Raw genomic sequence first — 27,680 nt, 5'->3', positions numbered from 1 at the left:
ATGTGTATAAAATTATGACAAAGACTGAAACTACCAAATCTGTAATAACTTGGTTGATATTTTTGCAATAATACCACTAATACTCTAATCAGCTTTTTAGAGCTCATTTTAATGTGAATAAAATGAGGCCCTAAAGCACTGATTGCCTTTAGAAGAAACATAAAAGGAAGGGGAAAACATGAATAAGTAGGAGATGAAAAACAGGAAACCGGTCTGGGCTTCAACTTATCAGTCTCAAAGGGTTTCCATTCAAATTTACTCTCTCTATATTGATTTAGCTCAGTTTCACTTCAACACATTTTAGTAACCTTGTATATAATTTTAAAGAATATCCTTTCTTTCCTAGGCTTAAATTAAAAAGGAAAAATAATGATGGAAACAATTAAATACGATTTTTTTTTGCCATAAAAGAAAGAATTTATGACCCTACTTGGACAATTAATTCAAAAAAGAGAATAAAACATTAAAGTCATTCTAGGTTATATACAGCTTTTTGAAGCATAAAGAAGTGATCCGCACAGTTTGGGTATTCTGGCACTCTGTTTTGGATTAACTTGATTTCTTGCCACTTTCTAAATTAAATATAGATGCTAGAAACTACAGAGTTTAAATTTGCTTCTTATTAAAGCTATTTTATTTTGAAATTTTTTATCATTTTGGGGGAATTATGAAGAGCAAACAGATGGAAAGAGAGGTGGAAGTAGTCATTCAGTCACCATGTATTTACTGAGTGCTCAGTCTTGCAGGTCTTGCCAGTGGCTGTCCAAGTTTCTACGAATATAATTGTCTGCAAAAGACACAGCAGGGTTTGGCCTCAGGCCTCCTCATTTACTAGATGGTCAATTTAAGGCAGATTATTTAACTTCTCTAAACATCTTAGTTTCTTCATTTCAGAAAATGAGACAGTTCCATGTATGGTGTTAATAAGAATCATAAATAAAATATGTGTAATATCTAACACAGTACCTGGCCCATTTATATATTTAAAAAATGGTAGTTGTAATTTGTGGTTATATATATATCATTCATTCTTCCTAATGAAATAAGTAGTGTCATGCAAACCACAGAGTTATGAGTTAATTTTTAAGACGCAGAATTATCATTTATATTTATCTGAATTATGTCTCAATGAAAAAGCATTTCCAGTTCTCTTATATATCATACGTTAAATATCCCAGTATAACAGGGATACGCAGAACAAAGATGTATATACTTATACATCCAGATACATAGAGGCAACAGTCAAGAAAAAACTGCATGCACATATCTATATGTATATGATTTATTTAACCTGTAAATCTTTCTTTAAGCATATGTCAGGATTATTATAATTTTATACTTCATTGAAAATTATTTCAATGTGCTACATCTAAATGTCCACCAGGAAATTGAGTTCTACTTATGAGATATAGCTTGAATTGTCCATGCCTCTCCAATTTTAATGCTACCACCTCATTAAATTTTTACTACCTCTTGCTTAGAATAATAAATCTCCTCATTGGTCTTTCACATCTACCGTTGATTCACTCTATTCATTCTTCACACATCACTTAGAATAATTTTTTTAATGGAGATTGGATTAAATCATGTCCCCCAATCCACTTCTTAAAACCTGCTAAAGTCTTTTTAATTGACATAGGATACCAGGAAGTGGGAGCAAGAAGGAAAAAAGTGAAGTTGATTAATGGGTGCAAACATACAGTTTAATGGAAGAAAAAGATCTAGTGTTTGATAAATCAGTAGAGTGACTATAGTTTACAATAATCTACTGTACACTTCTAAGTGGCTAGAAGGGAATAGTTCAGATGTTTCTAACAAAAAGAAAAGACAAATATTTAAGGTGATGAATATCCCAGGTATGCTGATTAGATCTTTATGATTTAGTTAAATGTATTAAATTATCACATGTACTCTGGAGCTATTTACATCTATCATGCATCAATTAAAACATAGTTTTGAAATAATTAAAAATATATATTTAATATGGCTTACAAATCTCTACATAACTTATCTCTGTCTCCCAGTAGGAATGGGAGTTGGGAAGAGATGATTCCCATCATCCTTCCTGAGCCAATACAATCTGACTCCAGTACAACACTGCATGTGTGAATTATCAAACAAATTGATTTAAAGATTAAATGAAATCCCAACACATTCCCAACAGACTTTATTTTTCAGAAATTGGAAAACTAATGTTAATGAAATACAAGAAGACAGGAATAGCCAATTTTATCATGAGAAGAACAGAGGTGCAGGACTTAATCAGACATCAAGACTCCTTCAGGACACAAGCATGGGCAAAGACTTCATGACAAGAACACCAAAAGCAACTGCAACTAAAGCCAAAATAGACAAATGGGATCTAATTAAACTAAAGAGCTTCTGGTCAGCAAAAGAAACTATCAGAGTGAACAGGCAACCTACAGAATGGGAGAAAATTTTTGCAATATAACCATCTGACAAAGTTCTAATATCCAGAAGCTACAAGGAACTTACAGAAATTTATAAGAAAAAAAACAACCCCATCAAAAAGTAGGCACAGGATATGAATAGACACTTCTCAAAAGAAGACATTTATGCAGCCAACAAACTTGAAAAAAAGCTCATCATCACAGGTCATTAGCGAAATGCAAATCAAAACCACAATGAGATACCATCTCATGCCAGTTAAAATGGTGATAATTAAAAAGACAGGAAACAACAGATGCTGGAGAGGATGTGGAGAAATAGGAATGCTTTTACATTGTTGGTAGGAGTGTAAATTAAATTAGTTCAACCATTGTAGAAGACAGTGTAGCAATTCCTCAAGGATCTAGAACTAGAAATACCATTTGACCCAGCAATCCCATTACTGGGTATTTACCCAAAGGAATATAAATCATTCTACTATAAAGACACATGCACATGTATGTTTATTGCAGCACTACTTATAATAGCAAAGATTTGGAACCAACCCAAATTCCCATCAATGATAGACTGGATAAAGAAAATTTGGCACATATACACCATGGAATACTGTGCAGCCATAAAAAAGAATGAGTTCATGTCCTTTGCAGGGACATGGATGAAGGTGGAAACCATCATCCTCAGCAAAGTAACACAGGAACAGAAAACCAAACGCTGCATGTTCTCCCTTATAAGTGGGAGCTGAACAATGAGAACACATGGACACAGGAAGGGGAACATCACACACTGGGGCCTGTCGCGGGGTAGGGGTAAGGGGAGGGAGAGCATCACGACAAACACCTAATGCATGCAGGGCTTAAAACCTAGAGGATGGGTTGATAGGTGCAGCTAACCACCATGGCACATGTATACCTATGTAACAAACCTGCACATTCAGCACATATATCCCAGAACCTAAAGTAAAATTTGAAAAAAAAAAAAAAAAAAAAAAGCAGTTTTATAAAACTCAGGTTAGCAGTTTACCAATTCCATTTCATATGTGGCTACAAAAGAAAATAACTCTAAAAATTAAGATGTTTTTGTCTACAAATGCATTAAATGTTTTAAATGCAATAAATGCTTTAAGTTTAAAAAAAAAGACTCATTATAAAGGTATAGTTATCAGGTGCTATGGTGTGAACATTTGTGTTCCCCCCAAATTCACATGTTGAACTCCTAAATACAAAGGTGATCATCTTATTACGCAGGGCCTTTGGGGAGTCGATTAAGTGACCTTAATGAGATTAGTGCTCTTACAAAGGAGACCCCAGAGAGCTAGCAAGTCCCTTCTACCGCGTGAGGAAACAGCAAGCAGGCACCATCCATGAAGGAGGAAATAGGCCCTCACCAGATACCAATTCCGCCAGCACCATGATCCAAGCCTCCAGAACTGTGATAAATAAATGTGTTTTATTTATAAGTCTCTTTGTTTATGAGATTTTTTGTTACAGCAGCCTGAATGGGCTAAAACATTAAGACAGAGTGGAATTAGAACAAGAACAAACAAACAATCCAGAGAACTATAAGAAATAGTCCTGAAACAGATCCACATGTATTTGGACATCTGATTTATGAAAAGTGTGGCTCTTGTGAAGTACTGATGGAAAGAATAACGTTTTTTATAAATGAACTGAATAAGTTAGTTAGCCATGAGGGGAAAAATGAACCTTGACTGGTATTTCACAGCATTCGAAAATAATAAATTCCAGGTAGATTATACTTGGAATGAAAGCTTATATAACATAACAATACCTTCCTGATGTGGGAGTAAGAAAGTTTGTTTTCAACAGTATATAAAAATCACTAACCGTAAAGGAAAATACTGAAAAAAAGAGACTGCATTCAAAATAAGGATTTCTGTTTATCATAAAAATCAATATGATGTAAAGGCCAACCAGTCAATGGGAGAGAACATTTGTATCACGTTAAATGAATATAACATTTATTGATTGCTTTCTTTGTAGCATGCACTACGCCAGATGTTCAACTGTGTGTGTGTGTGTGTGTGTGTGTGTGTGTATGTCTGTGTACGTTATTATATGTACATATTTATTTAACTATATACCTGCCAGCTAGAACTGGATAAAATATCCCAAAATGTTGATATATTTATTGCTTTACTTAGGGACCATATCCATTTTGTTGTCTACACAGGGTCTAGCAGACCTACAAAATAGGCAAAATAACCAAGTGAATTTAAAATTAATAAAGCACATGTGTAATAAAAATATAAGGGTATGACAGAAATTGTAGACTCAGATGAAATTATACATAAAAAGTTGATCACTGTTTCAGGCTGGGGAAAAAATAAAACGTAAGAAGAGACAGAACAAGGCTAATAGATCTGGAGACCATGGAGAAATTACGTGACTAGAGGTCACAATTCTAGAAATGATAAAAGCATATGTCACTGGTTCTTCAAGTAGAGGTCCCTGTATTAATTTCCCAGAAACTACACAAATAATAAAAAAAAAAAACCCTAAGGTAACCAAGGTATAATTTCCCCAATCCAACAGAATTCTAGAAAATGCAATCATAAGGACAAATATAAAATAAACTATGGAAACAATTCTCTAATATTATATATCTCTGAAATACCCCTTTCACCTGCAGGGAAAAGAAAAAAAAAAGGAGATATGTCAGGAGATCAATTTGAAAAATGCAAACAACAAAACTGCATTTGTGTTTTTATCAAACTGTGAACAGTACAATGTAGCAATATATCATTTGGTTGCCAGTCTTATAGGTATTAATTAGGGGCACATGATGTATGTATGATTCCTAATGGAAAAATGAAGAATTGCATAAACACTTGCCTATGTCTGCAATGAGATTATTCAAGCATAAACCTGCAGAGGAAATCAGCTCCTCTCCTGGAATGAGTACACCAGTAATGACCACAGCTAACAGTACTGTCACTCATAAAATATCAGCATCCCTCTACCAACCTTCAAATTATCTTTTCTCATACAGAGCGGGAAGTAGGACATTTTATAGAAGCATATCTTTTTCTAATAAAACATATCATAAACCACACAGTAGTAAAGGTTTAAGAAAATCGTGCTTTACTTTCAGGTGTTGCAAAAGTAAGGATCCAAGGTGATAATGTACAAGTCATTTTAAAAGTCATTACATAAAAAGAGATCTGATTTATAGTCCATGCTATTTTCACAAAAGTTGCCTAGGTCTTACAGGATAATCAGTTTCTAAACTCTTACTATCACACAGATTAAGTAATTAAAACACTGACTATGTTTTCCTTTGTTGAGAATCTCCTGAGTAGTTACTCTAATTCAATAAGTAGGAAAAAATACCCATTCTTGAGCAAATCAAGATATTTTTCAGTAAGGCCCATCAATCTGTGGGCCTGGACACACACAGTATGAGAGACATATTCTCCAGAATCAGATGGAATTTGTCCTTTGATTCACTGTGCTAACTTAGGCTGTTTTAGCATATCTGACAAGACATAATCCACCAAAAAAGCTGTTGTGAACAATACTTTGAGCTGCAGAAAATACAAAAAACTTGCTATGGTCTGAATGTTTAGAGTCCATACCCCAAAATTTGTATGTTGAAATCCTACTCTCCAAGGTAATGTTATTAAGGAGTGGGGCCACTGGGAGGTGGTTGGGTTTTTAGGGTAAAACTGTCATGATTGGGATTACTTTCCTTAGAAAAGAGACCCTAGAACTATCTCAGCTTTTCCACCATGGGAAAACACAGCTAGAAGTCTCTATCTGCAAATAAGAAACCTCTCAGCAAATATGTCAGTGCCTTGATCATAGCCTTATTAGCCTTCAGAACTGTGAGAAATATATGTTTGTTGTTTATAAGCAACCCAGTTTATAGCATTTAGAAACAGGGGCCCAAATGAGCCAAGCCAGTGTTCAATAGTACTAGCATTCTTTAAAAAAATTTTTTAAGTTTTGATTTTTGTGTGTATCTAGTAGGTGTGTGTATCTTTACGGGCACATGAGATATTTTGGTACAGGCATGCATGCGTAACAATTACATCATGGAAAAATTGGTATCTATCTCCTCAAGCATTTATCCTTTCTGTTACAATCTAATCATATTCCTTTAGTTATTTTAAGGTGCACAATTAAATTATTGACTATAGTCTCCCAGTGTGCTAGCAAATAGTAAGTCTTAATCATTCTATTTTTTTGTACCCATTAACTATCCCCACCTCTGCCTTGCTCCCCATACTACCCTTCTCAGACTCTGATAACCACCATTCTATTCTGTATCTCCATGAGTTCAACTGTTTTATGTCCAGATCCCACAAATAGGTGACAGCACTAGACTTCTCATAGTTTCCACAGCATCACCCTGGTATCTGCAGCAGATCATTCCTCGTTGTGCGGAACTGCTCCCCATTCCCACTACCAACCCCATTGTGTGATGATAAAAGTCCCTGACCCACCAACTGCTGGAGTAAGTGGGCTTCGTAAACATGTCAGACCAATCAGAGTTCTGGTGTGGGATTTTAGAATGTAAATTAATGAAAAAAAGAACATTCTGTATTGTTTGCCCAGTCTTCTTACTGGCTGACTCCCCAGAGTTTGGAAACAGCTCTGGCCAACCCCATAGCTCCACACATGCCCTCTCCACTCTGCTGCAGTATTCCAGAAGAAACCAAGAAAGTCTTGTTTTTGACTTTATTGGTCCTTTCCAAAATACACATCTGATCCTAATATCCTGCATAGAAATGTTCACTACATCTTTACTGATTCAAGGTGAAGTCTTTAACTAAACTGTATGGCATTGCTCTGGAAGTAAATACACAGTGTTAATAGAACATGTATATTTACCTGCAGAGCAATTGTCCTTAGTAAATTATGTAAATTTACTAAGGAGTTTCCTTAGTAAATTACTTAAATTTACTAAGGAGTTTCCTTAGTAAATTACGTAAATTTACTAAGGAGTTTAATAGTACCAATATAAAGGAGGCACAGAGAAATAAAAGTGCATGATTTATTTAAGTAAAGGCATGAACCCATGAAATGGGTATATGTGGATGTCTGAGTAAATTCATAGGTATATGAATTTAGTATAACAGTATACTACTATACTATTTTAGTAAAATTGTACCATTTTAGTAAAATAATATAACTATTTATAAGTAAACATTATAAATAATAAAATAATTTAAAAATTTCAGCTAATATGGACTGTGTGCCTAGTAAATTATATAAATTATATAATACATACATATTATATACATATATATTACATATTAGATATATATTATATAACATTATAATATGCAATATATAATTAAATATGTATTATATATAATTATATATAATATATAACTATAGTCATATAAATAATATTTATATATTTATATAAATAATATTTATAATTTATATAAATATTTATAATTTATATAAATATTTATAATTTATAATTTATATATTTATATAAATAATATTTATATTTTTATATATTTATATAAATTATAGTTATATATTTATATAAATTATAGTTATATATTTATATAAATTATAGTTATATATTTATATAAATTATAGTCATATATTTATATAAATTATATTTCTATAAATTATATTTATATATTTATATAAATTATATTTCTATAAATTATATTTATATATTTATATAAATTATATTTCTATAAATTATATTTATATATTTATATAAATTATATTTCTATAAATTATATTTATATATTTATATAAATTATATTTCTATAAATTATATTTATATATTTATATAAATTATATTTCTATAAATTATATTTATATATTTATATAAATTATATTTCTATAAATTATATTTATATATTTATATAAATTATATTTACATATTTCTATAAATTATATTTACATATTTCTATAAATTATATTTACATATTTCTATAAATTATATTTACATATTTCTATAAATTATATTTACATATTTATATAAATTATATTTACATATTTATATAAATTATATTTATATATTTATATAAATTATATAAATTTACTAAGCACACATTCCAGATCAGCTGGAATTATTTTTTCCATAGCAAGATTTTCTTGATAAAGTGAATTAATTTGCATTCTATGAAACCTCTTTATCTGGTCATATATAACACTTATACCTAACGATCAAGAGACCGGCACTTCACGTTGCGCTGGTCTACAACTGGGGTCAGAAATTTTTTTGGTAAAGATCTAGATAGAAAATATTTCAGACTTTGAAGGCTATATGGTCTCTGTTATAACTATTCAACTCTACCTTTGCAGTAAGAAAGCAGCCATAGATACTACTTAAAAGAGTGGTATGGCTATGTTCCAATAAAACCATATTTACAAAAACAGGCATCAGATTGGATTTTGCTTACAGGCTATAGTTTGCTCACTGCTGTTCTACAGATAAAGATTCAGCCTGTTAGGCTCTGAGGAATAACTTTCTATTGCAATTTCTACCTTCAAATTTACATAAGTATTCGGACACCCAGATATGCCCATTTCATGGATTCATGCAATTACTTAAATACATCATGCCTTTTCATTTCTCTATGCCTCCTTTATGTTGGTCTTTCTTCTGGGCACACTTATAACTTCTGGTATTGGTCCTCCTTCCATAATACTTACTAATCTTCCACAGTATATTTCAAATGTACCCTCATTTTCAAGCCTTTTTAGATTCCTAGACTCAAGTTTCTAAACTCAAGATTTCTTGATTCACCTAAGAATTCTACAGCACCTTCCATGTAATTTTTTCAATGCATTCAACATTATAGATATCAATTCATTGACTACATAGCTGGATGCCCAGTAAGTTATAAGTTATACATACCAATGCACACATTTTTAACTTCTTTATTATAATATCTAGAATCTCTTGAAAAGTAGCTTGAACTCAAGTGGCACTCAGCAAATATTCGCTGAATCTGTTGCTAAATAAAACTGACAGAGGATTCTTGCTTTTCTATATGAAATTCTCCTTTATGAAGTAAGGCATCTTGATTTTGAAAATACACTTACAATTTTATCAGAGTGCTTTTAGATTTCTCTTTCCTAGTCTCATGAAATAAAAATGATGTGATGACAACATTTGTTGAAATGTTACAGAACCACCTAGGGTTTAACCAACTAAAAAATTCAATAACAAAGGTATCAGAGCCAACTATTCTCATTAGGGGCAACCACAGTTCCTGTTTCAATATTGTATGACATTCACTGGAGAATAACACTTTATGGGGCAAGTATAAACACATGAATAAAAAAGTCTAAGAAATTACATGATGTAATATATTTTATTTAAGACCTAATTTCAAATAGGACTCTAAGAGTCTCAGTAAATACGTATTAGACCTTTATAAAACATTTTAATTGATTCATAATAGATGTACATAGTTTGAGGTATGTGTGATCATTTAATACCTTCATATAATTTGTAAAGATCAAATTGGGGTACTTGGGATATCAATTACCCTAAATTTTTGTCTTTCCTTCATACTAGAAACATTCAAATTATTCTATTCTAGCTATTTTGGGGAAAAAAGTCTCACAAAAGTAAATATCATCTTTGTAAATTAGATTTTAGGCCAAAAAACATTCACATCTGAGATGTATGAAAATTTTAAATTACAGATTTTAGATCAGTCTTTAAGTTAGGAGGCGGCTTTTAAGTTAATTGCTTAATATTTTCAATATTCATTTAATATTAATAATATTTATTGAAAATTGTTTAATATTTTCAATAAATCTGAGAAGTAAGGATTATAATCATGACTATTTCCTAGATGAGTTAACTAAAATTAAATAATCTGCCAGTGGTAATTTGCATGGTGAGTGCTGAAGCCAGGATTTGAAACAGATTGATGTGCAAATGTTATAGACTGTAAACCACATGTTCTCTTAGTGTAGCACCTGATTTGGCAACATCAGCATCACCATGTTGCTTGTTAAAATGCCATTTCTTGGGACCTATCTTACACCTGCTGAATCAGTAACTCTGGAGTGAGGGTTCAGTAATCTAACAAAATCTCTAGTTTGTTTTGCTGCATACTAAATTCTTGACCTCTTGGAAGATGTTCCGTTTTTACAATGATCACTGTGGCTTTCCTTTTCAGCCACTGATCGTTTCCCTGCCCTTCATTTCTACTCATGTCTAACACTAATTCACCTGCAGTAGCATTTCCCAGATTCTTCTGAAAGGAAATTTAAAATCTAATTTCATCTAAATGTCATCTAAATTTCATCTAATGTCATCTAAAATCAGCATACAGCCTAAGAGTCTATAGGAGGAAAGCAGTGTAGAAGTAGTTGATGGGGTGGTAGGCATGTCAGATGTAAATGATGATCACCATTTTGCAAATGAGTCAAAGTTTTCCAGTCTCATTCTTACACCCTTCAATATTATCAGGGTCTGAAAAAAACTGGAAAAGTATCTTGTGTTTAAAATTTAAATGGCTCCTATATATGTGTATTCACATATTGAAACACTTTTCTAGATGTTAAAGACTACGATGCTTTCAAATTTTAATCCCTTATACCTCTGTGCCATTATACATATACATATACACAAACTCTCTCTCTCTCTCACACACACACACACACACATATACACATATATATATATATATATATATACACATTCCTCTGTGCCCTGTACTGAACCAGAGGTTAATTAATAGAGCATAAAAATAGCTATAAGGTCTAAAACTATCCACTGTAATGTGTTATACAGAAAAAGCCGACCCTTGGATATAAACATTCAATGGAAAAACAGATAAGTTTGTTCTAGTTCTTAACCTCCTCACAGTCACATTTACATGAGGGAATTCACGTGGTGCCATTTCTTTCCTGTGTTTTGCCACCAGAGTTCAGTTTCTGTATTTTAATGCGTGGTATATGTACTTTGTTAAGATGATCATGAATTATCATTCTTTGACCTTTACATTGCCCTACAGCTTTGCTCATCAGCAACTGCCTTTATCGGTTATTTATAGCATCATGGCCTGTGATGGAAAGGCCAATCTAAATTCTGAATATATAAAAGATGCAGATAATGCTGGAAGTATTTCAGAAGGTAAACAAATATCACCACAGTGTTTTGTGGCCTATCACTGTTTTTATAATAACATGAGTACAAAATGTCACAACTGGAATTTATTCTAAGGCAATGCTAGCAGTGAGATGGAAATTTTACAAGCTTTAACAGTTTAAATACTGTTGAAAGGAAACTTTGATTTGAACATGAATAGTGAAAGGGTCTAATCCAAATGAGTCAAATTCAGGATAATTTAAGAGCATATTTTCCCACTTCATAAAATTATATCATTGCATTTCATTTCTACCCTGAGCTTTGAAACAGTGTTGATTATATTGACAGACATATAGATTGTTCATAATTTACATATTTTAGAATTTTATTGATAAAAATATTAAAATCTTGAACTTAATGACTTAATTTTAAAAAATATATTAAGTAAAAATTGTTTACTTTTAAAAATCTTTATTTTCTCATTAAGTCACTAGAATACTTTCAGTTCATCACATCCTAGCAAATGTTCAGTTAGAAAATTTTGTATTTAATTTAAAAGGGAATAAAAGGTAAACACCAGCAGGAAATTTAGATATTTACTTTAAAGTAGATATGAGAAAATGTAATTTTAAACCTAGGAATTTCCCCAAATTCTAGCTCAAGACATTTTTCTGTGTCTTTCTTCTTTTTTTATAAGAAACTTCCTACATACTCATGAAAAATATAACCAAGGTTAATAAAAGTAACATATCTGTGCATGAGTTAAGAATATAACTCATAAGGGAATAATCCACAGAAGTATTAAAACTGTATCTAAGCAGCTTAGAAAAGAGAACTAATTTTATCTGAAAGATGTTATTATTGTTACTGTATCTCTTTTGCCCTTGTCTTCAGCATCTCCTTAACATAAATGAACTATTCTCTTTTGTCCAAATATTATGTGTTTCAACTTTTTCTTTTTATCATTCAAGGTATCCTTCTCTTCTCATGGCCTAATCTGAGACGAGCACTAAAATAGATGTTGACTAAAAAGTAAATTAGTCAGTGTCGTTTCCCTTGAGATGCTTACAGACTCATGCGGGAGTTAAGTGAATTAATACTGATGGTATTCTGGGACATGCACTGTAATATAGATAATACCCGGAGAAGGGACTGTGGGATCAGACTAGAGAGAGCCATCAAGGAAAGTTGATCTTGAACTCAGTTTGGAAAGATGATTACGAGATCGTTTAAAGAAGGCACAGTGGCACAAAATAGAGTCATATTGGAAGAACAGATGGATTAATTGCATGGATAAGAGAAGTAGGCTGCTGACTGAGTCCAAAACAAGAAGCCTGGGCCACACAATGAAAGATCTTAAGACCAAATTTAGGAGATGAAGAACAGCTATTTGGATGTCTTCTGGTTTTCTTAAACTAAAGAATTCAAAACTAAGATGGATTATCTCCTGTGTTCACAGAACATTCCTAATTGGACTTCTGACAATCCAGGTTTGCAAGTTTAAAGCTAATGGTCCTCTTTATCTAGCTGCTTTTTGTTTTTCAACATGCATTTCCAATTAATCATCATACTGTATTGCCTTTACACCACGAATGTATCACAATTCAGCGTTTAAATATAGTTATCCCTTCAATTGTCCTTTCTAACACTGCTCCTTATTCATCACTTACTCAGAAGATTTCAACAATGAAGCGGCTCCCGTGCATAAAATCATGCCCTACTTAAATCAGTCTCTGTTACCAATAACGTCAGTAAAAAAGCAAATCTAAGCACATCCTTTCCTTCATTTCCTGTCTCTTTTATGACCCTACTCTTTGCAAAATAGTCCCAACTGTGAGGACCTTTACTCAGTAAAGGTTCCATTAGCCTTCTGACCTTGAATTAGATTTGGCCTGTGTGAGACACTGACAAGAGATTGGAAAGTGAGAGGAAAGAGTTCACAGTATTTATTTCCACAACTCCAATCCCTTTCCTCCCTGACTCACTGTGGGAGCTGGTCTCTTTTAAAGCCTTTTCTTTTGGATGGGGCAATCTGGTCTCCTTCCCTTGTCCCTTTGGATTTAGGTGTTGCTGGTCTTTCAGTGCATCACTCAATCCTTTGTAGTCTTTGCAGTAAAGTCTCTGATTAAATTCTTTGTGCCAGCTGTTTCCCGCCTGGGCCCTAATTAATATAGCCCCCATCCTAGCCTTTACCTATCTCATTTTTCCCCATGGAGCCTACCATTCTGTCACAGGTTACTTAACACCACTGTACAGTTAACCTAGGACTCTTCATTGATCCCTGTTTTTACAAAATCTGTCAACTCTTTTTAGAATACTTTTAACCAGCTAGTTCATGCCATACATTTCTCAGTATTAAACACCAACACCACCTTTTCACCTGTTCACACAGTCTCTACTTACTTTCAATCTGTCTTTGACTATCTCACCTAAGCAAATACTTTTTTGTCATTTCCCCCAGCACCTGGAACGGTGCCTGTTCAGTATAGTACCTTTTAACAATAGTGGCCCATAACACTACTACAGATATACTGTAGAGAACCCTATATATAATAAATTTCAGTTACAGAGGTATAAATATGGTCTGGTAAGTAGATATATTTTGGTAAAAATTCCCTCCCATCTTTTATAAAAATGAAGTAAGCAGAGAAAATAAAAGAGATACTATAAATTCTTAAATATTGGTGAGTGTTGTTATTTAAAGACTCTGAATAAAAGGTAAAGGCACCACATTGAAGGAGCCCAAGTTTCTACTCTGGTTGCCATCTCTTCACTAAAAAAAATTATGCTCCATGAATCACCTCTGTGAGAATCAATCTCCACTGAATTCAACAGGCAAGCATAAAAACAAAAGAAACTCTGGTTCATTTAACAATGACAGAACAATGTTAAATTTAGATTTATGGTAATAGAACAAACCTTAAATCCTGTAATTTCCAATGCATTTGTTTTTCTTAATTCTGATTTGCAATACAAGCCCAAAACCCAGATTACAAAATATATCTTCATTTTTAAAAAATCTAAAACAAACAGAAACATACTCAATATAATATTAGTCTCTCATACTACCTTGTCAGTTCAGCTGTCTTTGATTTATTACATTCTTAGTACAAAATAATTGTTTTTAAGATTAAACTGCATTTCTTTCTCTGAATTTGGAAATTTACATTAGGCAAGCTCTTTTGTTCCAAACACTGGACTAAAGCTCGGAGGGCCTGAGATAGGAAAGGCACACTTTTTCTCTAATGGGCTCACAACGTAATAGGAGAAATGTGTTCTTAAGCCAGTAATTACAGTAGGACAAGTACGGCCAGGTATACTGTCTGACTCTGTAAAGTCATGCTAAACTCTACCTGGGGACAAGATATGGTAGCATCTCAAGTAAGTATAAAATAGAGAATTATGATATCTTCTTAGAAGAAGAACAAAACAGCCTGCAGAAACTATTATCTGGACTAGACTAAGCTTAAGACTCCCCCTAGGCCAAGTTTATCCTCCTCACTCTGTCCACTTCTGCTAATCTTTCCCTAGTCTATTACTTCTTTTTCTATTTCTGGATATAAAGAAGGTCCTAGTATTTTACATCACTGTAGAATGAGTATAGATAACAATAATATACCATATAGTTTACATAGGAGGAGGATATTGAATGTTCCCAATGCAAAGCCGTGATAAATGCTTGAGATGGTGAACACCCTAATTACCCTGTTCTGATCATTACACACCATATAAAATCAAAACAATTGAACACACAGACATGCAGAATAGAAGGATGGTGTTACCAGAGGCTGGAAAAGGTAGTGGGAGTCTAGACGAAATGTAGGGATAGTTAATGAGTATAAAAAAAATAGAAAGAAACAATAATACCTACTACTTGACAGCACACTGGGGTGACTACAGCCGATAATAACTTAATTGTACATTTTAAAATAACTAAAAGAATGTAATTGGACTGTTTTTAACACAAAGGATAAATTCTTGAAGGAATGGATACCCCATTCTCTATGACGTGATTTCTCATTTCATGCCTGTATCAAAACATCATATGTAACTCATAAATATATACACCTACTATGGACCCACAAAATTTTTAAAAAAGATAAAAGCATTACCATGTACCCCATAAATATGTGCAATTATTATTTGTCAATTAAAAATTAAATTTAATTAAATATTCAAGAAAGAAACAACTTTAGCGTAAGGTCAGCAGTAGGTTGGTAGGTAGCAAAATTCTAATTCAATTTTTTTCATTCCAAACCCAATTCTCTATCCAATATTTTTCCTCCCCACTATAAAACTATGGAGGATAACTATGTCTCTGGCATTAGCTTCAGCATGTTGTTTTCACTACCAATTTGCCTCAAAGAGCCATGCCATGCAGTTTGCAAGTAAAAATGTGCCTCAGTCTGTTTCCTTAAGAAATGATCATCCTTTGAACTAATAATATCTCATCCACACCCCGAGTTATATATCACTGAAACTGTATTTTATGACTGAATGTGTCAAATTCTCAATTTTTCACATCTCTCAAGCTAAAAAGTTAGAATTACTAGCTGTATTCAGCTCAGCTCTTCCAAATCTGATGGAGAGACTGCCTCCTGACAGTTGAGGGCTCATAGAAATCGGGTCCCAGCAGAATCACAGCATATGGTACAGATAAGGCAGTAGTGTCAGGCAGAACTAATTCATCAAGTATCCCCCTTAGACAAATTAATGGAATACAGATGAAAATCCTTCGGTTCAGGTGAGAGAGTTTGATGTTTCTGTAGCTGAGAATAGTTATGTCCGACCAAAGTATATAATGGGTACCCACTTTTGCACAATAAATGTGCAATGCATCCCAACTAAAGAAACAATAATATTGTTTATGTCATAACTGCAGACCCCATGAAGCATAATTTTTAAAATGTTGTTCCCTTACAATTCCAAGGTCTCTGTCATATACCCTCTGTTCAGCATGATTTGATGGTTCTCCTTCTGATATGTTTTGGCTGTATCCCCACCAATATCTCATCTTGAATTGTAGTTCCCATAATCCCCACATGCTTTGGGAGGGACCTGGTGGGAGGCGACTGAATCATGGGGACAGTTACTCCCATGCTACTGTTCTCTTGATAGTGAATGAGATCTCACGAGATCCAGTGGCTTTATAAGGGGCATTTCCCCCTTTTGCTTGGCACTTCTCCTTGCTGCCATGTGAAAAGGAAACGTTTGCTTCCCCTTCTGCCATGATTGTAAGTTTCCTGAGGCCTCTCAAGCCATGCTGAACTGTGAGTCAATTAAACCTCTTTTATGTATAAATTACTGAGTCCTGGGTATGTCTTTATCAGCAGCATGAGAACAGACTAATATACCTTCATTTAAGTACATATATATATACACAATTAAGTATATATACAGTATATATAAGGTATATATATACTACCATACTATATATATACTATACACAGTATATATACGACACTATATATACTATACACAGTACATATACGACACTATATATACTATACACGGTACATATACGACACTATATATACTATACACGGTACATATACGACACTATATATACTATACACGGTACATATACGACACTATATATACTATACACGGTATATATACGACACTATATATACTATATATGGTATATATACGACACTATATATACTATATACGGTATATATACGACACTATATATACTATATACGGTATATATAGTATATATACTATACTATAGTATAGTATATATAGTATAGTATATATAGTATGTGTGTGTATATATATACTATATATGTAAATTAGCATTCAACCAATTCTGTATAGTATGTGTGTATATATAGTATATATATACTATACTATATATACTAGATAGTATATATATACTATCTAGTATATAGTATATATAGTATATAGTATATATAGTATAGTATAATAAATTGTATACTATATAATATATAGTATAGTATATATAATATATAGTATAATATATAATATATAGTATATATAATATATAGCATAGTATATATAGTATATATAATATATAGTATAGTTTACATAGTACATATAATATATAATATAGTATATAGTATATATAATATATATTATATATATTATATAATATATAGTATAGTATATAGTATATACATAATATATAGTATATATAGTATATACATAATAGATAGTATATATATGGTATATATATAATATATAGTATAGTGTATATATATACTATACTCTCTGTATATAGAATTGGTTGAATGCTAATTTACCCAGCAGTATGCTGAGGACAGATAATATCAGGATTAAGTTACTTTAAGAAGTAGGTATTATCCTCTAACAGGGTAAATACAGAAACAATGAAATGAAGACATAGGCTGGAAAAGAAATGAAAGATCATCAGTCAAGCTGCCCAATAATTGCCCATAGAATATAAGATCTTTCTCACAACAACAAATTGGTTCAAAATTGAAAACTTGCAATACTTTTATTTAGCTTTATATTGATTTATGCTCTAAGAATAACTCCCCAGTGCCTCGTATTAGAGCATATTAGGTCTCAAATTACATCAAAATGCACAGAAACAAAAAAAAGTTGTCAAGTCATAACCTGAAAACCTTACTTGGGGCATATTTCTTATTCGTATAATTTTCAAAGAAGAATTTCAGCTAGATTTTTGAAAAGTATTTTCTATTACAACAAAAGTAGTACTGCACATTAATGTTAGATTGCGATTAGATTCCTTGGAATTTTTAAACAAAAGATCGATGTTTTTCTTATTGCCTCATTCCACTGCGTGATATGTTAAAATAGATACGATTTGCTTTCTGAACAAGACTCCGTATACTGGCAAAAACCACAATTACTTTTGCACCAACCTAATAGAAAGTTTCATGGATTCAGTTGATAAAGTCATTCAGGATTTGCATAGTAATGCTATGAATCAACTCCAGCTCAAGGAACCACTGAAAGAAGCAGAAGGCAATGACTTCAATGATTGGGGATGCTTTGTCAATACTTTTTGGTTGATGAGGGAAGGGTTCTATGAACATCTACTGTACTATTAACTCCAATTCAAGCTTTTCTTGACAAAAAGGAATGCTTGCCAAATAGACAATAATCAGTGAAAACAAAACAGGCATTGTGATTTGTAGTTTCTCACTGATATCACAATGTGATGAACAAGCTAAATATGAAGCTTCAAGAAATAAAGAAAAGTTTATTTATGACCTTGGTCACAAAGGTGACAAGTACTAAAATCTATTTTGAAATGGAAACTTTTCATAATACAAATCAATAATAATGATGAAACATTTTTCAAACACAAATCAACATGCAGGTTAATTTAAATCCAATTGATAAGATTATGTAATTGGCTGCAGATCTACAAGAAAAATGTGAAGAATGTTTTGTTGACATTGATAAATTTAGAGTTGCTTTTCAATTTATGATGTATCCCTTTGAAATTGATGTCAATAATACCAACTTAATGCAAGCGCTAAGGAATATATTTGACTTGTACAAATGTAATTTTGAAACGGATATGCTATATTAGTCAAGAATCTCCAGAGAAACAGTAACAATAGGATATAGATAGATGATGATGATGACTAATAGATAGATGATACAGAGAGGCAGAGAGAGAGAGAGAGATGAGGGATAGACAGACAGACATTGTGGGAATCGGCTCACATAATTATGGAGGCTGAGAAGTTCCACGATATGCCATGTGTAACCTGGAGAACATGAGAAGCTGATGGCATAATTTAGTCCAAGTCCACAGGCCAGGGAATCTGAGTGGCTGCTCGTTCAAGCCAAATTCACCTTCCCGCTGTCTTTTTGTTCCTCAACGAATTGAATGGTGCCTGCTCACTTGGTGAGGACAGATCTTCCCTTTTTAGTCCAATGATTCAAATATCATTCTCTTCCAGAAACACCCTCACATACCCAGACATAACACTTGACCAGCTACCCCAGTATCCCTTAACCCAGTCAAGTTGAAACTTAAAATTAAGGATCATGTATGCTTTTGTTTCAAGGTAAAAATGATTCTTCTAAAAAGATGACCCAGTTTTTCATTTTTGGTACTGGACTTTTAAGTATATTTGAAATAACCTGAGTATATGAATCCACTTTTTCAAATGTAAATTTTAGGAAGTCCAGAGAACAACTAATTCCAATGGGATTTTAGTTTTTAAATTACAATGTAGTATGTAATATTCACACTGGATTTTGAAGATTATTTTAAAAAAGACATAAATATCTCAACTTTATATTGATTACACGTTGAAAAGATTTGTATATATTAATGAAAATAAGTTAATGTATTATAGAAATCATCTCACCCATTTATTTTTGTTTTTGTATGTTGTGGCTACTAGAAAATTTAAAATTACACACATGGCTTGCCTTATATTTCCATTGGATAGCACCAGTATAGAGTACAAGAGATATGCATTAGTTCAAGTTTGCTAATCGCATTAATTCTATGTATTTACTGTTTTGTCTATTCATTTTCTCCTCTGCAAAGTGTCTTAACATCTCCCATTTCCATTGTGAGTTTTTCTATTTATATCTGTGATTTCTGATCACTGCCAAATATTTATTTATATATTAAATAAGTTATAAGAGATACCCAAACTTGGTACTATCGTACTTGGTGTAATGACTATTTTATTTATCATTATAAAATGAATTGTTGTCTCTGTAGTAATTTTGACCTAATGTCTATTTTCTCAGATATTTATATTGTTATGCCAGCTTGCTTGTTTTGGTCTTGGGATAGTATATTATCTTTTTACCATACTATTTTCAAACTTGTTGAATCCTTTTATTTAACATGTTTATTTTTTAAGTACCATACAGTTGGGTTTTGGGGTGTGTATGTATAACTTTTCATCCAGTCTATCTTTGTCTTTCAATTGCGTATTTAGCCCAAACATATTTAATCTTTTGTTACTTTAGGGTTCAATTTTACCACCTTACCATTTTATACTCTTTGTTTCAACTTTTTGCATTTCTTCTTTCATTTCCTTCCCTAACTAACCTGAGTTAAAGATATTTTTGCTTTACTTTTCTATTTTATTAGTTGTTAGTTAAAAAATCTTATAATTTTCACATCATCTGAGAAATTAAACATATCTTTAATAGTTTTAAAAAATTCATCCCTCACCTATTGAATATTTACCTCCTTTTTATTTTTCAAAAAATTAGCCTTGAGTTGTAATTCACATACCATAAAGTTCACACTTCACGTAATTTTTGAAGTATACAACGTAGAGAATTTTAGTATATTCAGAGTTGTCAATCTCTATTAAATTCCAGGACATTTTGATCATCCCAAAAAGTAACCCCTTATCCATTCTACCTTTCTCTATCCTTTGGAAGACTTTCTCTTTCTGTAGATTTGCCCAATCTGGAAATTTCATATCAATGCAATAAAAATACATGTGGCCTTGCATTTGGCTTCTTTCACTTAGTATAATGTTCTCAACGTTCATCCATGTTGTAGCACACAACGGTCCGTCATTCCATTTTACAGCTGAATAGCATTTCCTTATACGGATATAACATTTTTGTTTGTCCATTCATAGGATGATGGTCACTGAGTAGTGGCCACATTTTATCTATTATGAATAATGCTGTTATGAATACTCATGTATAAGGTTTTTTGTGGGTATATGTTTTCACTTCTTCAGGTATACACCTATGAATCATATGGTGACTCATTCAATTGGTTGAGAAACTGCTGAGTCATATAATTCTGTTTGACTTTTTAAGAAACTGCCAGACAATGTTCACAGTTGCCTGTATAATTTTACATTACCATTAGCAAGTATGAGGACTTGAATTTCTGCACATTCTCATCAACACCTGTTATTGTCTAATTCTCCTCATTCTTATTGCCATCCTAGTGGATGTGAAGTGGTATCTCACTCTGGTTTTGATTTGAATTTTCTATTGACTACTGATGTTTAGCTTCTTTTATTTGACTTTTAGCTGTTTGTATAACTTCTTTGGAAAAACACCTACTCAAATGCTTTTCCTATTTTAAAGTAGGTTATCTGTCTTTTTATGGCTTAGTTATAAGAGTTATTTACATATTCTTTTTTTCCTTTTAAGTTTTATTTTAGGTTCAATGGGTCCATGGGCAGGTTTGTTAAATGGGTAAATTCTGTGTCACTGAGGTTTGATGTACAAATTATTTTGTCATCAGATAATGAGCATAGTACCCAACAGGTAGCATTTCAATCCTCGCCCTCCTCCCACCTCCACCCTCAAGAAGGTCCCGGTGACTGTTGTTCCCTTCTTTGTGTCCATGTGTACTCAATGTTTAGTTCCCACTTCTGAAGAAGAATATATGGTATTTGCTTTTCTGTTCCTGTGTTAATTTCCTTAAGATGATGACCTCCAGCTTCAACCCTGTCACTGCAAAGGGCATGATCTCATTCTTCTCTATGGCTGCATAGTGTTCTATGCTGTATATATGTACATTTTCTCTATCCTGTCTGCTGTTGATGGGAATTTAGGTTGATTCCATGTCTTTGTTATTGTGAACAGCGCTGCCATGAACACACATGTAGTGCATGTGTCTTTATGGTAGAATGATTTATATTGCTTTGGATATATACTCAATAATGGGATTGCTGGATTGAATGGTAATTCTGCTTTGAGCTCTTTGAGAAATCACCACACTGCTTTCCACAACAGCTGAACAGATTTACATTGCCACCAGCAGGGTATAAGCATTTACTTTTCTCCCTAACCTCGTCAGCCTGTGTTAATTTTTGACTTTTTAGTAATAGCCATTTTGACAGGTTTGAGATGGTATCTCACTGTGATTTTGATTTGCAATTCTCTAATGATTAGTGATGAACATTTCTTCATCTGCTGGTTGGGCTCCTATATGTGTAACTTTGACAAGTGTCTGCTCATGTCCTTTGCACATTTTCTAACGGGATTATTTGGTTTTGTGTGTTTGATTGATTTCTTTAAGTTCCTTATAGATTCTGGAAGTTAGGCCTTTGCCAATGCAGAGTTTGCAAATATTTTCTCCCATTCTATAGATTTTCTGTTTACTCTGTTGATAGCTTCTTTTGCTGTGCATAAGGTCTTTAGTTTAATTAGGTCTCACTTGTCAATTTTTGTTTTTGTTACCATTGCTTTGGCATCTGCTTATGAAATCTTTGCCAGGGTATATGTCCAGAATAGTATTTCCTAGGATTTCTTCTAAGGATTCTATAGTTTTAGGTTTTACATTTAAGTGTTTTAATCCACATTGAGTTGGTTTTTGAATATGGAGTAAGGAAGGGGTCCAGTTTCAATCTTCTGTGTATATCTAGCCAGTTATCCCAGCATTGTTTATTGACTAGGGGAGTCCTTTCCCCATTGCTTTTTATTGTCAATTTTGTCAAAGATCAGGTGGTTGGAGGTGTGCAGCTTTATTTCTGGGTTCTTTAACCTCTTCTATTGGTCTATGTGTCTATTTTTGTCACAGCACTATTCTATTTTAGTTACTGTAGCTTTGTAATATAGTTTATTGGGTAGTATGATTTCTCCTGCTTTATTTTTGCTTAGGATTGCTCTTGCTATTCAGGCTCTTTTTTGATTGCATATTAATTTTAGAATAGTTTTTTGAATTCTGTGAAAAATGTCATTGACAATTTGATAGAAATAGCATTAAATCTATAATTGCTTTGGGCAGTATAGCCATTTTAACATTGATTCTTCCTATCCATGAGCATGAATTTCTTTTCCGTTTGCTTGTGTCATCTCTGTTTTATTTCAGAAGTGTTTCGTAATTCTTGTTATAAAGATCTTTCACCTGCCTGGTGAGCTGCATCCCTAGGTATCTTGTTCATTTTGTGGCTGTTGTGAATGGAACTGTGTCCTTGATTTGACTCTCAGCTTGGATGTTGTTGGCATATAGAAATGTTACTGACTTTTGTACATTGATTTTGTATCCTGAAATTTTGCTAAAATTGTTTCTTCAATCCAGGAGCCTCTGGGCAGAACCTCCGGGGTTTTCCAGTTATAGAATCACATTGTTTGTAAAGAGGATAGTATGGCTTCCTCTCTTCTTATTCAGATGCCTTTTTTATTTGTTTCTCTTGATTGATTGCCCTGGCTAAGGCTCCAGAGCTATGTTGAATAGGAGTGACGAGAGTGGGCATCCTTGTCTTGTTCTGGTTCTCAGGAGGAATGCTTCCAGCTTTTGTCCTCTCATTATGTTGTCTGTGCGTCTGCCATAGATGACTTTTGTTATTTTGAGGTATGTTCCTTCAGTGCCTAGTTTGTTGAGGGTTTAACATGAAGAGATGTTGAATTTTATGGAAAGCCTTTTCTGCATCTATTGAGATAATCATGTAGGTTTTGGTTTTAGTTCTGTTTATATGCTGAATCACATCACATTTATTGATTTGTGTATACTGTGTATAAGTCTATTTGTAGGTCTCTAAGAATTTGTTTTATGAATTCAGGTGCTCCAGTATTGGATGCATATATAATTAGGATAGTTATAGATTCTTGTTGAGTTGTACCCTTTATTATCTAATGCGCTTCTTTGTCCTTTTTGATCATTGCTGGCTCAAAATCTGTTTTGTCTGAAATTAGACTAGCAACACTTGCTCCCTATTGTTTTCTATTTGATAGATCTTTCTCCACCCCTTTACTTTGTATTTGATAGCTTTTGCCAGTTTTTATGGAGAAGCAGAATTCCCAAGGCACTTATCATGTGAAGCGCCCCCTTATACTGCTTTTTATACTATTAATTTTGTGTATCTTAATCAATATATGATTTACATATTATAAGTCCATCAATATTATTTCATATAGCCTATATTCATTTAAATTAATTTGTACATTTATCTGTCAGCTTTTCATTCAATAATGCATTCCTTATTTCTATCTAGGATTGTTTTCCTTCCGGTTGTAGACATCTCTTTTGTAGAAGCCTGCTGATGACAAATTTTCTTGGTTTCATTTGTTTGAAAAAGTCTTTGTCTTAAGTTTTGAAGAATATTTTTACCAGGTATAGAATTCTAGTTTTGATTTTTTTTTCTCTGATACATTGTGCCTGGAACTACGCAAAGGATTTGAGGGTCTGGATGATGTTATCTCCTCCCTAAGAAGATAAACGTTGACTTCTGGCCAGCAAAATGTCTCCCAGCAAAACATCTTAAATATGGAGTGAACTGATTAAAGTTGTGCTTTGAGGTTTTCTATTCCTGTGAGCCAAAACTCTGCACTCTTAACTTCTCACCCGCTCATGCTGCTGAGCATCTTAAGGTGCTGAGTACCTCTCCGCCAAGACACATTCTTGTGTCTCTTTTCTAGTCCTGCTGATGCTTTTTAAAAAGGCACTCTCCAAGGTTCCACAGTCATTCTCTTCTCTTACAGTTCAGTCGTGACGTTACCCATTTGACATTAATAATTTCCTATAGTCTCTCTCTCATGTTCCCCTTAGATTTCCCTTTCCCTTTTCCCCTTGCTTCCCTTCCCTTTCTTTCCCTTTGTTTCCCCTTGTTTCCTTTCCTATCCTTCTTGTCTTTCCTATCAGTTCTCTTGTAAATCACATCCTTTGTCCCATTCCAACCAAATATCATGTTGAAATTTGATCTCCAGTGTGGCAGTGCTGGGAGGTGAAGCAGGAGATATTTGGGTCATGGGCGCTGATTATCTATGAATGGCTTGTGCTTTTCTAGCAGTAGTGAGTTCCCACTCTCAGGAGACTGGATTGATTCTTGTGGGGAAGGGATTAGTGGGTCGTTATGAAGCAAGGAAGCCTCTTAGGCTTGGTCCTTCTTCCCATGTGCCCATTTCCCCTTTGGCCTTTTCTGCTATGTTTTGATGTAGCACAAATTCCTCACCAGAAACTGAGCAGATGCGGGCACCATGCTTCTTGTGCAGTCTGCAGACCATGAGCTAAATAAACCTGTTTCATTTATATATTATTCAGTCTCAGGTATTCCTTTAGAGCAACACAAAATGGATGAAGACAACTCCCAAGCCGTTGCTCTTAGACACTAAGATTTTATATAATAAAATAATCATTTATTATTTCCCCATGTTGGGTGTAGCCATCGCTTTGCTTGATGAAATTCTATGCAATGCTTTACAGCCAACTCAAAAATTACCTTTCCCATAATGCCTTTTTTTTCCCTTTCTGGATATGAAGCCTCTCTCTTCAGTTCCCATAGAATACTTTGTATCTTCTTTCGGGTCCTTACTTTGTTTTAAATGACACAGTTTTTTAAATCTAAATTTAAAGATCTTTGCATCCCCTGTTACTTGCATAAAATATTTCTCATATCTTGTATGCAAAATAGCTATAAAATTGCATTTTAACATGCCTTCGAAAGTAATATTTCATAGGGCATACAAATAATGCTATAAATATAGTTTATACATTTATGAGGCAGGGTATGCAGCCACTACATTCTTATAAAAGTGTAACTATATATATAAAGAAAAGTCTTAAAAATAGCCATGATGATCTATACTCTTACCCCAAACTTTATTATTCCACAAACTGCACTACTCTTACCGTCGTGCCACTAATAAAATGTCTAAATATTTTTTTAGTTACCTAAAGAAAACCCAATCTATATATACTCCCTCTTTTAATCTTATGATTATAGAATTAACTGTTTTAAATTATTTTACAGTGAATGAGAAAATTAGTTCATAAAGTGAAAACAATTATAAGTAAATAATTATTTCAATTAAAACAAAGTTCACAGAACTTGTATATTTCTAATGAGATCATTAATAATGCTTATACTTTTAAAATTTAATTTTATTGTTTACTTAAAACTCATCTTATTCTCAAAAACACATGAAATACAGTACAATATAATAAACTAAAAGATACACTCACACAAATATATATATATTTATATATAAATAAAGATAATACCAAGAGAAAAGAGTTGAGGCACTAAATGGAATCAAGGATAAAAGTAGATCACAAAAGGCATTATAGAAATTTCACAGACTTACTAACAACATATGAAAAATTTGGTTCTAAGCTTTCTATGAGCCAATCTGAGGAAGAAAACATAATTAGTAATAATCATGAGAGCCTTATGAAAACACAAAAACAAACTGATTCTTCACTAAAATTACATCATGTGCTCATAAAAGACTGCAAACTAATTTCTCACAAATGTCTTTTCAAAGAGAACAAGTATAACATAATTAACAATTGCTTCAATCACATTTGTACAATGCATAATGAAGGACTTCCAACAGACTATTTTATATAACAAATACTCATATATGTCAATTCAATAAATCAATACATGAATAGCCAATAAGATATTTAAATGTGTCCTTCATAAACCAGTCCCAACTTATCTTGAAATGATAGTGCAGTTCTTTATAGTAAGCATATGCCTTAAATCCATTTCCTTTTAACACTTAAGTGCTGAGGAAAAGTTGATAAAACCTCCAGAAAATATTTTGATATATAACAATTATTTAAGAATAATTTATCATTCCTGAAATTTTCCCCACAAAATGATGAAGACAGCAATATTTTTCCAAACTGGAAAAATCATGCCAAAGCCTGCTTGCTCCTCTTATAAAACACATAGCTAGGAAAGTCAGACTATCAACTTGCCAAATAAGAAACTGTCAGCCAAAAAAATAATATTAATAAATAAAAACACTAGAATGTAAAGGACTGTAATTCTGGCAGAGGAAATAATTACATTTGAGGAAAAAGTGTAACAAAAGTACAGTCAGGTGAGCACATATCCAAAAAGGTAACAGGTGAAAAAGTTATGAAGAAACTATATTTTGGAGCATGAAATATTCCCTGGAACTGTGTTTAAAGTTATCTGCCTAGTATAGATGGCTGTTTCCCAAGAGTTGGCGGCCCACCCTTGCAGTGCTTTATAAAATACAACCATGTCCACCATCAAGATTCTGATTTCATTGAATGAAACAGGGCCTGGGTATCAGTATGTTTCAACACTGCCTCCAAGTAATTCCACTGTGCTGCCAATTTCAAGAACCAGATCTTGACTAAGTGGTCCTCAAAGTGAGGTTCCCACATCTGTAGCATCAGCATCACCTGGGAATTTGTTTAAAATGTAAATTCTTAGGGTCTACCCCAGACCTACTAAATCAGAAACTCTGGAATGAGCCCAAGATTCCTGTGTTTTAACAAATCTCCAGGCAATTCTGATGTGCTTGAGAATACAGCACAGGTGGAATGTGCTTTGCTA

At 32.9% G+C, this 27,680-nt stretch overlaps 1 protein-coding gene across 10 annotated transcripts in view; it reads right to left on the bottom strand.

Moving 5' to 3' along the window:
• Positions 1-27,680, bottom strand: part of MALRD1 (MAM and LDL receptor class A domain containing 1) — a 687,552-nt gene that overhangs the window by 411,040 nt on the left and 248,832 nt on the right. The gene's annotated exons all lie outside the window — the stretch shown is intronic.

The sequence above is a fragment of the Homo sapiens genome, chromosome 10, assembly GCF_000001405.40.
Source record: "Homo sapiens chromosome 10, GRCh38.p14 Primary Assembly".
NCBI lineage: Eukaryota > Metazoa > Chordata > Mammalia > Primates > Hominidae > Homo > Homo sapiens.
This window is presented reverse-complemented; position numbering and strand designations above follow the sequence as displayed.